Source organism: Homo sapiens, chromosome 14 (genome assembly GCF_000001405.40).
Source record: "Homo sapiens chromosome 14, GRCh38.p14 Primary Assembly".
Classification (NCBI taxonomy): Eukaryota; Metazoa; Chordata; class Mammalia; order Primates; family Hominidae; genus Homo; species Homo sapiens.
In genome coordinates, this window is record NC_000014.9 from 59,856,384 (window position 1) to 59,871,010 (window position 14,627).

At 41.9% G+C, this 14,627-nt stretch overlaps 1 protein-coding gene across 4 annotated transcripts in view, besides 1 other annotated feature; it reads right to left on the reverse strand.

Moving 5' to 3' along the window:
- The window catches only part of RTN1 (reticulon 1), a 274,801-nt gene extending 260,408 nt beyond the window's left edge, over positions 1–14,393 (reverse strand). For all 4 annotated transcript variants that reach the window (XR_007064042.1, NM_021136.3, XM_047431674.1 and 1 more), the window contains exon 1: positions 14,007–14,393. Coding sequence is in view for 3 of the 4 variants with exons in the window: in NM_021136.3 (NP_066959.1) it covers positions 14,007–14,247 (241 nt within the window). In the remaining variant the exon portion in view is untranslated. The remainder of the gene's footprint in view (positions 1–14,006) is intronic.
- Positions 14,302–14,401: a silencer, noted in NCBI's record as "silent region_5807". NCBI's record gives its function as "represses an Ori minimal core promoter by ATAC-STARR-seq in GM12878 lymphoblastoid cells {active_cell/tissue: GM12878}" and the evidence as "EXISTENCE:reporter gene assay evidence [ECO:0000049][PMID:35858748]".

The following is a 14,627-nucleotide window of genomic DNA, read 5'->3' on the forward strand; positions in this document are numbered from 1 at the left end:
GCTGTGCTGCCTTCTCTGGTAAGAGAAGCAGCCTCTTCCAGACCAACTCCCACACATACCTGGGACAGCTTCCTAGGCTTATTGCCCTTCCACTGAATAGGAGAATCAGAATAGATTCCATCTGCTGTCCTCCCTCATTCCAGCTGGTCCCCACGGGCACACCTCAGCCCTGTACTCACAGATCACTCATCAGGACATGGGAAACGCAGCAGATCACCACTCCTACTGCCCTCCTCCAAAATGTCTTCCCATGTGGATTACCAAAACCGACTTCTCTCCACCCCCAATCCTTCCTTGCTCTCCTGAGCTTCCCCATTGCTATTTGGCTGAGGTCCAGCTTGGCACAGCAAGCATTTTATAGTAAAACATCTAAGGTTGAGGTTCATTCTCAATCTTCATTCTCTATGGCATCTGACGCTACTGACCAGGCTTCCTATTAATAGTACCTTATAGATACAGAGTTATCTGCCATTTCCATGCATCTTCTTGTGTTATCCCATTTTATCTTCACATAACCCTGTAAGATAGCCAGAACAGTACTGTGCTCATGCAATGTCATATATGAAGAAACTGATACATAAAGCAGTCATATGTCTTGCCCACATTGACATGATATTAGGTACCAAAGCCAAGACTAGATAAATCTGATCTCTCAGTCAGGGCTCATTCTGTACCACGTCATCTTGGCTTTTGTGATACTATAATAATAGGAGTACCTGTATTTACCATATGATTGCCAGGCACTCCACAAGACCTAATACCATATATACCTAACTATAGAATCTGAGGCTCAGGGAGCTTAAAGCTAAAGCTTTAAGCTTTTTTAATGAGGGGCAAGGAGTATTTGCTCTGTCCCTGGTCCTCTGTCCTTTCCATACTACATAATCTCTATGGCTTCTCTTCTAATTTTCTAAATCCATATCAACAATCCTGTTGTCACCTACAAAATCCATTTCTTTATCTACAGTTGCCAAGTAGAAATTTCCATTCAAATGGCTTGTCATTATTTCAAGCCTCATATGACTAAAAGTGAATTCATTATCCTCTCTCCTCTAGCCAGTTCCCCCTCCCACCCTCTATAGCATAACATTCTCCCAGCCATAGGGCACAAAACTGCAGCCATTTTTTATTTATTCCTCCCCTCGTCCCCAGATAATGTGTGTTAGTCACAAAGTCCTGTTGACTGTTCTTGTGAAGCCTCTCATCTTTCTTCCCATGTACCTCCCTCTTTATTCCCATGGTTACTTATTAGAGGCCCTGAAATTGATGTTACTGGGTTGGCTTTCTTCCAGCAAAACTCGCAGGTTTTAGAATTATCCTCATTGAATTCATCTTCTATTCTACTGTCAGACTAATCTTCCTTAACATAGCTCTGTGATATTACTTCCCTTACATATAAGCCTGCAAAGATCCCAGAATCCATAAGAAAGGAGACTAGAGTTCTGAGTAGCCCTCAAGCCCTCCAGAATCTTCCTTCTCCTCATCTGGATAAGCTATGAAACTAGGCTCATCATTGCTCACTTCCTTGTCATCATCCCCATACTCAGACTGCCTTTCTGCTCACTTCTGCCCCCTTCCAATTCTATCCATCCTTCAAGAGACCAGGTACATTGGAACCCATACAGTCATGAAATTCGTGTCACACATATAGCTTGTACCATCCATCCAAGCAACAAGCTGCATGCTGACCTGAGTTATTCATCTTTGCTTTGTGGGAGTTGGCCATATCTCCCAACTGGATGGTAATACGCCCAGGAGGAAATGGGGAAAGGGTACATGGCTCATGCTCCTCTATTCCCCACGTCTCCTACAAAATGCCAAGCATGAGCAGGAAAGCCAATAAATCAGTGCTTCTTACAGCTTTAACATGCACCTGGTAGGCTTGCTTCCCTAGGATGAGGTCTGTGGTCACTCCATGTGATGTTGGAGCAGGTAGTTTATAGACCATATTTTGAGAAGCCCTGATTTTTTCAGAGTGAGCTGAAAAATTCATGCCAAAGGCAGACATGACATTGTTTTCTATTCCTTTGCTTGTCAACTAGATCAGGAATCATTCAAATACACATAATTTTCTGTTGTTCAAGAGTAGTTTTTTTTTTTTTTAGAAAGCCAAAGATTTGCTATGCATAAAACAAAATTCTAGGAATTTTGGAGAATGTGAGCGTCAACAAATTTTCCAAACTCAGAAAGCAAGAATTTGGTCTATAACAGATTTTACAAAAAATCTCATGCAATAGATGAATTAGAAAAGGCATTTGGGGATTGGACACGGAAATTAGAATGGAGAATTCTTCCAGCTAAAAATTTAATTCATTAAGCAACCCAGGAAACATAGTTTTCCAATGAATAATCTTCCATAAATATACAGATAGTGAGGCAGAGAAAGAAGGAAAGGATCGTATGATGCTTTTAGCATTACAAAATTATTTAATGAATTTCCAAAACATTTTAAAATATGTTGAATATTTATGAAACTAGATTCAGTAAAAAATGAAGAAGATAATTCAGCAAAAAGAATAAAAGAGATACTTGCAGATAACATATTTTATATTTATGTTAATAATCCAAAACTGGATAAAATTATATAGTTCTTAAGAAGCAAATATGTCACATTATGGACTTTTCTTGACAAGGGAGAACTAGAGGAGGATTTTTAAAAGGCCACAAGTCTGTGAAGAGCACATTTTAAGTAGTCAATTTGGGGTAACTATGGTTTTTGTGATGCACACAGTTTCCAGTTTCATTAGTATGTGGTTTATTTTTTGAGAAATATGGAATAATTTTAAAATAATGATATGGCTTGACTGTGTCCCCACCCAAATCTCATCTTGAATTCCCACGTGTTGTGGGACAGACCCAGTGGGAGGTAATTGAATCATGGGGCAGGTCTTTCCCATCCTGTTCTCGTGATAGCGAGATCTGATGGTTTTATAAAAGGGAGTTTCCCTGCCCAATCTCTCTTTTTGCCTACTGCCATCCATGTAAGACATGACTTGCTCCTCCTTGCTTTCCACCATGATTGTGAGGCTTCTCCAGCCATATGGAACTGTAAGTCCATTAAACCTCTTTCTTTTGTAAATTGCCCAGTCTCAGGTATGTCTTTATCAGCATTATGAAAGCTGACTAATATAGTAAATTGATACCAGTAAAGTGGGGTGCTGCTGAAAAGATACTGGAAAACATGAAAAGATACTGAAAAGACACAACTTTGGAAGTGGGTAAGAGGCAGAGGTTGGAACAGTTTGGAGGACTCAGAAGAAGACAGAAAAATGTGGGAAAGTTTGGAACTGCCTAGAGACTTGTTAAACGGCTTTGACCAAAAGCCTGATAGCAATATGGACAATAAGGTCCAGAATGAGCTGGTCTCAGATGGAAATGAGGAACTTGCTGGGAACTGGAGCAAAGGTAACTCTTGTTATGCTTTAGCAAAGAGACGGCAACATTTTGCCCTTGCCCTAGAGATTTGTGGAACTTCAAACTTGAGAGAGATGATTTACGGTATCTGGCAGAAGAAACTTCTAAGCAGCAAAGCATTCAAGATGTGACTAGGGTGCTGTTAAAGGCAGTCAGTTTCATAAGGGAAACAGAGCATAAAAGTTCGGAAAATTTGTAGCCTAATAATGTGATAGAAAACCCAATTTTCTGAGGACAAATTCAAGTCAGCAGCAGAGATTTGCATAAGTAACAAGGAGCCAAATGTGAATCCCCAAGACAAAGGGGAAAATGTCTCCAGGGCATGTCAGAGGTCTTCACAGTAGCCCCTCCCATCACAGGCCCCAAGGCCTAGGAGAAAATTATTTCATGGGTGAGTCCAGGGTCCCGTGCTGTATGCAGCCTAGGGACTTGGTGCCCTGCTTCTCAGCCACTCCAGCCATGGCTGAAAGGGGACAAGCTGAAGCTCTGGCTTCAGAGGGTGCAAACCCCAAGCCTTGGCAGCTTCCACGTGGTATTGAGCCTTCAAGTTCACAGAAATCAAGAATTGAGGTTTGGGAACCTCCACCTAGATTTCAGAGGATGTATGCAAGCACCTGGATGTCCAGGCAGAAGTTTGCTGCAGGGGTGGGGCTCTCAGGGAGAATCTCTGCTAGGGCAGTGCAAAAGAGAAATGTAGGGTCAGAGCCCCACACAGACTCCCTACTGGTGTACCACATAGTGGAGCTGTGAGAAGAGGGCCACTGTCCTTCAGACCCCAGAACAGTAGATCCATCGACAGCTTGCACCATGTGCCTGGAAAAGCCACAGGCACTCAATGCCAGCCTATGAAAAGAGCCAGGAGGGAGGCTGTACCCTGAAAAGCCACAGGGGCAGAGCTTCCCAAGACCATGGGAACCCACCTCCTGCATCAGTGTGACCTGGTTGCCCAAGATCATGGGAACCCACCTCCTGCATCAGTGAGACACGGAGTCAAAGGAGATCATTTTGAAGCTTTAAGATTTGACTGCCCTGCTGGATTTCAGACATGCATGGGGACTGTAGCCCCTTTGTTTTGGCCAATTTCTCCCATTTAGAATGGCTATATTTACCCAATGCCTGTACCCCCACTGTATCTAGGAAGTAACTAAGTTGCTTTTGATTTTACAGGCTTATAGGCAGAAGAGACTTCCTTGTCTCAGATGAGACACTGGACTATAAAATTTTGAGTTAATACTGCAACGAGTTAAGACTTTGAGGGACTGTTGGGAAGGCATGATTGGTTTTGAAATGTAAGGACATGAGATTTGGGAGGGGCCAGGGGCAGAATGATATGGTTTGGCTGTGTCCCCACCCAAATTTCATCTTGAATTCCCACGTGTTATGTGAGGAACCCAGCGGGAGGTAATTGAATCATGGGGCAGGTCTTTTCCATGCTGTTCTCATGATAGTGAATAAGTCTCACAAGATCTGATGGTATTATAAGGGGGATTTTCCCTGCCCAATCTCTCTCTTTGCCTGCTGCCATCCATGTAAGACATGACTCGCTCCTCCTTGCCTTCTGCCATGATTGTGAGGCCTCTCCAACCATATGGAACTGTAAGTTGATTAAACCTTTTTCTTTGTAAATTGCCCAGTCTCGGGTATCTCTTAATCAGCAGTGTGAAAATGGACTAATACAAGTAATAATGTAACAATAACAATGTCAAGTTAGGGGCACTGTTGTCTTTTAGGAAGATATAAACATCTTAGTGTAACTAATGACTTCCTTTCTGCTTTCCCCACATTAAAATGGCAACCTGGCTTTTGCTTGAACATCACTAACTGGGAGAGAATCTGTCTTTTCTGATCAGTTCTAATTATTAGAACATTTTCTTTCATTCAGAAGAAATCTACTTCTCCACATCACTAGTCCTAATTTTGCTCTGTGAAATCAGCTGGGTCAAGTCTTCTTCCTTTGCTTCATGAAAGTTCTTCTAGTATTTAACATTCAGATCTTCATTCTTTTCTTTTGGATAAAAATTCTTAATTTCTTTAACTATCTCTCAAATGGCATGTTTTCCAAAAGCCTCCCAATTGCCCTGCTCTCACCGTATTATAGCTCGTCAATGTCTCTCAAAACATGGCACCTACCCTTTAGTATGAGAATCCAAATTTGGCCTGCCTAGAACAGAATCTAGGGGAGCTATTACCTCGTATAATGTGCACCTGAGACTTTCTATTAATACTATCTGAAATTACATAAGATATTTTAGTAATTTCACCATACCACTAGCTCATATTTAGCTAATTACAAAATTCCCAACCCCCACCATGAACTATTTTAAGTTGCATCTCCTACGTTCTATACATATTAAATAGAATTTTCAGAACTTATAGTCAACATTTTACATTTATAATGTTACAGGCCACTGTTCTTCCTTCCCCCTAAAAGCCCCTAGGCAGAATCCTAGGCCATTATGTCCCTTCCTAAAGATATCCATTAGCGTCTGGTTTACTGTAATTCCCAGGATCTGTCATGGTTCATTGTGATGTCAGTAATCATGTAGGTGACTGTTTCACTCCTATTTTCACCTTTCTTCTGGACTCCTCCAATGACCTTGTCATCCACTCCATCTCAGTTTTCCACTGCTTCTCAGTAATAGTACCCCTCCTACTATCTACCTCAAACACCCCAGCTACCAAATCATCATCTCTTATCCTTTCATCTCCCTTACTCTAGTACCATTACTCTAGCAACCCTGCCAGCATATACAATCCACTGCTTATGTCATCTTTTTACTATGCTTCATTCCTCCTCAGCAGATTCCAAGACCAAGCATCTATATACTGCCTTGCATATATCCTCAAATCCATTTCCCATCTGTTCCCACTGGGATCACTGGAAAACAAAAATCAATCCAACTAACCCTGCACTCTAAACCAAAAACAAGATAACATATACAGTGATTGGTCTCACTTTAAGCTCTAAGTGAGCCCCAAGGGCTACTCAGTGTTCCCTCAGTTTGCCCTAGTCCTTTCACTCTCTCATTTTCCCAAACGACAATTTTATACCTTCTCCCCTCTTCTCAAACTTTCAACAATTCCACTCCTGCCTTCACTCTGTTGACCCTGCTTCCTATTTCATTGATAAAATAGAAGCAGTTAATGGAAAACTTCCACCTGTTCTCAGCCCCATCTCCAACCACTCCCTGCAGGTGTGCCCTCTCCTCTGTCTTTCCTCCATTATAGCCATGAACTGTCCTCACCTTTATCCAATATCAGCCCTTGTCTGTGTGCTGGATCCATCCCTGCTTACTCATTCAGAGACACAGTTTCAGGAAATGCCCCCACCTCCCGCAACACCAATCTTTCCCTGACTACTGCATCATTTACATCATCTTGCAAATATGCCTTAATATTCTCCATAGCAAAAAAAAAATACTTTCCCTTCTTTTCATCTCACTCTCCATACAGTTACCTCTTATTCAGTTTCCTTTATAACAAAACTCCCCCAAAGAGTCAAGTCTACAAATACCATCTCTTATTTTCTCCCCTCTCATTTGCTCTAAAACCATTTCAACCGAGATGTTTTTCCCGGCACTTTGAATGACTTCCTCATTGTCAAATCCAGTGGCTGGCTCTCAGTCTCTATCTTAACCACAAGCAGCATTTGACGGAATCAATCATTCTATTCCTCTTGACATATATTTATCTTTTCTTCTGGAGTCTCTTTCAGTTTTCCTACTTCGTCGCCCACTTTTACTCAGTTTTCTTTGAAAGACCTCTGTATATTTGAGTGACCCAGGACTCCTTGACCTCATCACTGTCAACACTCACTCCCTTGGTGATCTCATCTCTACACCAACAACTCCCAATGTATATAAGCAGATCAGATCACTCCCCAGCCCCACTCTACACTGCTTACTTGACATCTCCACTTGGACACCAAACAGACATTCAAAAATTAACATGTGTAAAACCAAACTCCTGTTTTTTCCCTAAAACTTGCTCTTCCTAAAGTCTTCCCAACCCCAGCTAATAACAACTTCATTCTTGTGTTTACTCAGGCCAAAAATCATGGCATGTCCCTTGTGTTCTTTCTAACACATTACATACATTCAGAATATATCTAGAATCCAACCACTTTTCACCTCTTCCAATGCTGTTACTCTGGTGCAAGCCACCATGATTTCTTTCTCAGATTATTGCAATGGCCTACTAGTAGGTCACTCTTGCTCCACACCAACCACCACCACCCCCATGTTAGATTCTCAACGCAGTGACTAGAGTGAGTCATTAAACTTAAAACTGAACTCTAAATATGTTCCTTCTCTATTTAACACCTCTCCCATTCCTGTGGCTCTCATCACACTCAGAGTAATATTTAAAGCTGTTACAAGGGCCTATAGGACCTAATCTATCCACTCCTCTCTACCGCTGACCCTTTGCTCATCCCCTATCATTCTCCCCTTGCTTACTCCACCTCACTGCTCTTCCTGTGGTTCCTTCAATGTGCTAGGCACACTCCCACCCAGGGCCTTTGCAAAGGAAATTCCCTCTGCCCAAAATGTTCTTCTCTCAGACATCTGCAAGACTGTTGTGTCACTTCCTTCAAGTCTGTGCTTTAAAGATACCTTATCAAAGAGGTCTTCTTTGACTATCCCTCTCATTCCCATTACTCTGTTTTGACCTTTTTCACAATACTTAATCATCCCTTGATATAGATGTTCTGGTCTCTGTTGCCCTTCCTTACTCTCTCCCCTTGCCCCCACCAAGAAAAAAAAAGTATAGTTTATGGATGAGAGGCTTTTATCTGTCCTTTTCTGTACTATAATCCTCAGTGCTTAGACAAAGCCTGACATATAGCAAGAGTTCAATAAATAGTAGTATAATCATAAGTAATGCTCTCTTGCTAAAACTAATTACAATGGTTACCTCTGGAGAGGGGCAATGGATTGTTGAAAGGTAAGGTGTGAAGACTTCCTTTTCTCTACTTACCCTTTTGTACCTTTTAGATTTTAATACCATGTGTATGTATTTTCTACCCACCCCCAATTTTTAAATCGGGACAAAAATAATTTTAATAAACAGATTTATCTTGTTGCTTTTGAATAAACATTAAAATCAAGATTTTTTTCATCGCAATGCTACCCTGTAGCATATCAGCCATCCTTTGAAATTTTGTGCAGTTTATAAATTAAAGAGCATGCTTTCTATATCTTTATGTCAGTTGAGCGTTTTGCAGAGTTCCTAGACATAGGAAGGGCTACATACATGTTGGTAATTCAAAATCTGAAAAAGAGGGAAATAATGTTGTACAGGCATTATTTTTTAGTGAACTAGAGGGAATTTCTGAACAATATATTCATTCTTTTCTAAGGGTCTATGAATATTTAGCATAATAACACATTCTTAGATTCTACCAGCAGTCAGTGTCAAATATATTGGTTTATAAGTTTTAAGAATCCACCATTTTCCCCTTTTTGAAAATCACTTATCAATTTCAGCTTTTCTAGCCCTAGTCTTATTCTCCAAAGATACTGGGAATGAATTTAAAGCTGCTCAGCACACTCATTCAATTCCATGAGATGTAAAGTAGTTGGATGTGAAGAACTGATCTCATCAAAGTAGTAATACAAGATTTTACCTTCTGTTTACTTATCCTGGGATCCCAGTATCTCTTTCTGTATGTTTCAATTTTCCAACTTAAGAATCACTGTCCATTTTAAATTAGGGAGCTCAAATAAGAATTGAGAAGCCCTTCCCTCCCTTTTCTCATACCCTATCACTACAGCATCTTCCACAAACAGTGGGCCTCTCTGGCTCACACTCTTCTCACTGTTCTCTTTGCCCTCAAATATTATTTAACCAAACAAAACTGGTTGTCTTTCATTTTTGGACCATGTTCTTTACAATGACTTTAGCCTAGAGCATTCCTATGTAGATACGTTTGTCTCTTGAAATGTCTTTTATTTTCACTGCCCTCTAAATTTTCCAGCATCGTTTTCAAAACTCCCTTAGTCACCACTGAAATAATCTAATTGTTGAATAAAATCACAACTAACTAATCCAAAGATCTTGATGTAACATTTAGCCAGTTATTTCTTTGAAGATGTAGAGAATGAGATAGATGATAGAAATAAAGGGAGAGAAAGATTTTGTTTTTCACAGCTAGACAAAAAGACAGATTTTGTCTTTCACAGTCTGAGCAAGCTGTGCTCATATTTACTTATCCTGTGTTGATCTCAGAAAACTAACTCATACCCTTGTGCCCATGGGGTTAGATTATTATAATTCCCTTCTAGTCAAGCTTCCAGCAATAACTTGGGAATGAAGAAAATGAAAAATAACACAAAAGGAACTATTTGGCTAAATTAAATACTGTGAATCAGAAAGGTGCACATGTTTTAGGAAGTCATGACTGACCTGTGTTTAGCACAGATCCTTACACAAAGGAGGCATTTAACATAAGTCTACTAAGTTGAATTGAACCGCAATGGTTTCTCACTTTACAAAAGATAATAAAAGCTTTCTGTAATCCTTGCAATCCATGCTCCCAGGGATAGACAATAAAATGGGCAAGATAACCAATAATGCTTCTCTCAACCCTCAGAATCAGAAGTAAAAAAGAGATGGAGAGAGGAGAGCCTATGAGCAGGGCAATGAGCAGGGTGGTTTTCTTGGAACAGTAAGTTCATGAAGGGAAAGTTAACCTGAAAGCCTTTATAATATTTATCAATGTATTTTAAAAGTATGTAAGCATCCTAAATTTAATTTAACCTAATTTGAATTCCCTATATTAAAGAACATATATTGTACTTACTTCCAGAAATGGTATTGATTGTATCCAGAGGATATGCCCACAGAAATAAATTGCATTAGTTTTCCAAACTCTTTTATTCATCTTATATGTTTCTTTAAAGATAGTAATGGCACAGTGTAATGTTCCTTACCATTTCAATAGAACTGTAGCTTTCTCAAAAGAAAGAAGATGGAAATTTATACCTTCTGAAGGGGATTACCTGGAAATGACTCCAAATAAAAAATGTCTACACATCTGTCAAACACATCCAAAAGTGAAGACAGTTAATCTAGCCTCCAAATGGAATTTAGAAGATGTTTTTCCAATACAGCATCACATTTAGCATTTGAAAAATGAGGACATATAAACAATATGGTCCATGTAAAGTAAATTGGAAAATGCTTTTTGTAATTATCTTGAAATTTAAGTCAAATTATTTATAAATTGATATCACTGCAGCAAATCATATTGGACTGATTTTTCCTGACCATTCTCCATCATGTTCTTGATTTTGCTTTCCATATATTAAGCAGTCAATGAGTTAATTTCCAAAGCAGGCAATGAGTTAACCTCTATTTCATTTTGTTCAGATGTTCTATTTAAAATTCTTTCTTTAAACAAAGGACCATTCTTTTTTCCTTTTGTTATTGTATGCTCCTTTTGAATAGTTTCCAGTAATAAAATAACTGATCATGAAAAAACAGAACAGTTGCTCTTAACATTCTTTGTATAAAGTTATTAGATGATGGCACTTTTATGATTAACAACGCTAACATGTCGTAGCCTACCTACGGTGTATTAAATGTTCCCTTGTCAACACACATAATTTCACATGTCCATTATCAGTTTAGACATGAAGTTGTAACTTTAGAAGACAGTGTTATTTTGATGAGACTATTTCCACGCCACAAAAGGGACAGAAGCAATGAGAACACCTGAAAATAGAGGATTGATGGAGTTTTATGGTGCAGTTTTAATAATGTTTAAACTTATATTCATTCCAGGACACTGCTGAGACATATTTTTGGAAATGTTCCTGGGATAATTTTAATTACCATCAATGTATAAAAATAAATAACAGAATATCTGTCCAGATGGCATGATTGGTGATGTTTTTCAGAAAAACAGTTATTAAAACATCAATATCTGTCTTATATTTCCATCTAAAAAAGAAACAAAATCTGTTTACAGTGCATCACACTCAAAGTCTAAGTTACTTCTTAGTTTGAGTTGAGTCCCAAAAAAGCACCACTCTTTTAAAAAAATAAAGCACTCTTCTGCCATGTGGGGACACAGTGAAAAGACAGCTGTGTGTGGACCAGGAAGCAGACCCTGACCAGACACCAAATCTACCTTGATCTTAGATTTCTCAGCTTCTAGCACTGTGAGAAAATAAATTTCTGTTTATAAGCCAAAAAAAAGTAAATTAAGAAATACAGTGTAAAGTAGTGTGCTTAATAGGCATCTCTGATACAATTGAGGGCTCACCTGCTAACTTTGCTTATAGCAATAGAACTGCCAAAATAACAGACCAGGAAGCTGGACAAGATTTGTTTGGAATTTTAAGATCTAGTTATTTATTTATACAGCATTTCTGGCGTTTGAGTCTCTTATAGCAGCACATCCGGTCTACTTAATAAGAAACACAGAGATTTAAGACATTAACCAATCAACAACTATATCAGAAATTCCTTCTAGCCACAATCATAAACTAAAAAATTTCTATATAAATATGCAAAATATGTGCTCCTTCCATCTTTCTTCATTCTTCTCCCATCCAAACGTAGTATCATGTTTGATTTTATTACTATATTTGTTGCCTAGGATAGAAAACCCCAAACACATTCAATAAAGCAAGGTATTTCTATAATAATAATACTAAAAATGCAAAATGCATTGTTATTTACTACAGCCACCTTTCTGTAACAATGCACTGTACATTTTGAAATTGCTAAAAGAGTAAATTTTAAACGCTTTTACCACAAAAAAAAAGTACATGAGATGATGGATTTGTTAGCTAATCATTTGACAATGCAGACATATGTCAAAACATCACACTGTACCCCACAAATATATATTCTAAGCATTTCCTATATAATAACTTTTGTGGATATGTTACTGAGCATGGGGCACTTAGCTTCCTTTTTCTAGTTCACATAATCTTAGTGGCACTAATAGGAGGTGGGTAATGTTTCATAAAGAAACAATTTACTTTGATTACAGTGGATAAAGATTCTGAACTATGAGCAGTCTATCCTCAACAAAGAATGGTAAAGACAAAAACTACCTTCCTTTGTCTATTATCATTTGCCATCTTCTTTTGCAATTATAAAGAGTTTTGTTTTCACTTGGATGCAGAAGTTGAAAGAGAGACTGAGCAGCCATTCTTAGATTTAAATCCTCCCCCACTCCTAGGGATATAATAATTAATATATAACCTTTGGCGTTTGGCGTTGGGGCTTTTGAGTACTTTTCTTTCTTTCTTTTTCTTTTTTCTTATATAGGGTCTCCACTTTTTCTCTTCCTTTCAGGATATTGACAATTTTTATTCAACGCATTCTCCAAACCTCTTTTCCCCAGCTCAGATCTTCTGTACCAGGGCAGTTAATTACGATTACCTTAGACATTCCACATAACCCTTAAGAGAAGCTTACGAAAAGGGGTTTCTTTAAATCAACCACCAAGAGCACACACACCAGTCCCACTCCCCTTCCCCTCCTCTGGGAGCACCCCCCACCCCAGGCCTTCTAGCTCTACATTGCCAAAACTACACAACTCCCACTCCACCATAGCAAAGCTTTCTCAGGAAAGAGCACCACACAGCATCCCCTTTCCTCTCCCTGGAAACAGCGTTAACCAGGCCGGCAGCCTCAAAGCGCGCTTCCTGGATCCTTTGACCAGGATGCGCCAGGGGCCTGGGCTCCCGCTGGACACTGGCGCGCTCAGACTTTGAATAGGGCGTCAGGCGAAGAATGGCCAAACCCAGGGCAATTTCCGGGGTGGGGGGGGGGGGGCGCTTAGACTGCTGGTAAACTGTACCACGTCCACTCACCACCACCCAAGCCCTCCAACCCACAGCCAGGCCCGCCGCACTTAGGACTTGAAGTTTCAATGCTCCCTGCAAGGTGGGGCCATCCGGGCAGCGGCGAAATACAGGTTTTGGGCGGGGGCAGCCACAGCACCCAACCCTCTTGCAAAGCTGTGCCTCCCGAATTAGGGACAAACTCCCTGGGATTTGTTTTCTGCGGGAGAAAAGGCGGAGGGATGTGGGGGGAGTAAGGTGTGGTGGCGATTCGTGGAGGGCAAGGGTAAGGGGCAGTTACAGCCACATCTCTGCCCTGGACAGAGCCGGGTCCAGGGGCCGCGGGCCTGCCCGCCGCTCGGTTGTCAGCATCTCCTGTAGCCGGCGCGCACACTGCGCGCAAACACGCCCCCCAAAATCCCCACAACCTGTCAAACGGGCCCTACAGCTCGGAGCCTCCTGGCAGGAGGGAGAAACTTGTACCCAGACTCGCCAGCAGCCAGAATGCTGCTGTTTGCCTATGAGAACAATTTTTAAAGCGGAAATAATCATGATAATGAAATAAAAGGATCAAAAGCATCTTGACTTTTTCTGAGCCTTTGGGAAAAATAAAATTGTTGTTTTCTACCAGCCCGCGAATATTCCCAGTCGCCCGTGGCGACGCGGGGGTGGGGTCGGCGCTCAAGGCAGAAAGCGCGAGGCAGGTGCCCAGGAGAGCCGCGCAGAAGGGGACTGACTGGGGGGCCCTGGTCCCCGACGCCATTTGAGGGGCAGCGGCGCCCGCCTTACCTGTGGATGCAGTTTCCATGGCAACGGGCGACTGCCGGGCGGGGCCCGAGCCGGCTTCCCGCGACGCCGCTTCCCGGGCCCTGGCGCCCAACCCCGGGCTGGGCTCCCCAGCCTGCGGCGCCGGCGTGGCCCCTTTCGGCGTCACCGCTTCGTTCTCCCCCTCCCCCCGGTGCCTGAGCCACTGGGACCCGGGGCCGGCCAGCGGCAGCAGCTCGTCCTGCGGATCCCCCGGCGCGGCCATGGCTGGCGGTCCCCCGGCGCGGCGACGGCGGCTTGGCTGGGCAGAGGCTCGGTGGCTGCGCGGGCGCTCCCTGCTGCTGTCCCCGGAGGGACTCGGCGCTCAGGGAAGCTGCGGTGTCTCAGCGTCGCCGCCGCCTCTGCTGCAACTCCGCCGAGCCGCTGCCTGCCGCTCTTCCCGCTTCAGCTCCTCCTTCTCCCCCCTCCTCTTCCTCCGGCCCCGCCGCGGCCGCTGCCTGCGCTCCTCCTCCTACTCCACTCGCTGCTGCCGCCGCTGCTTCGCTATTCCCAATCCTGTTATTACGCAGGTGAAAATGGCCTGCTTGGTCCGGGTCCTCCTGGGCACGTCAGCCCCCAACCTGCAAATGGCAGGCCCCGGTTAGG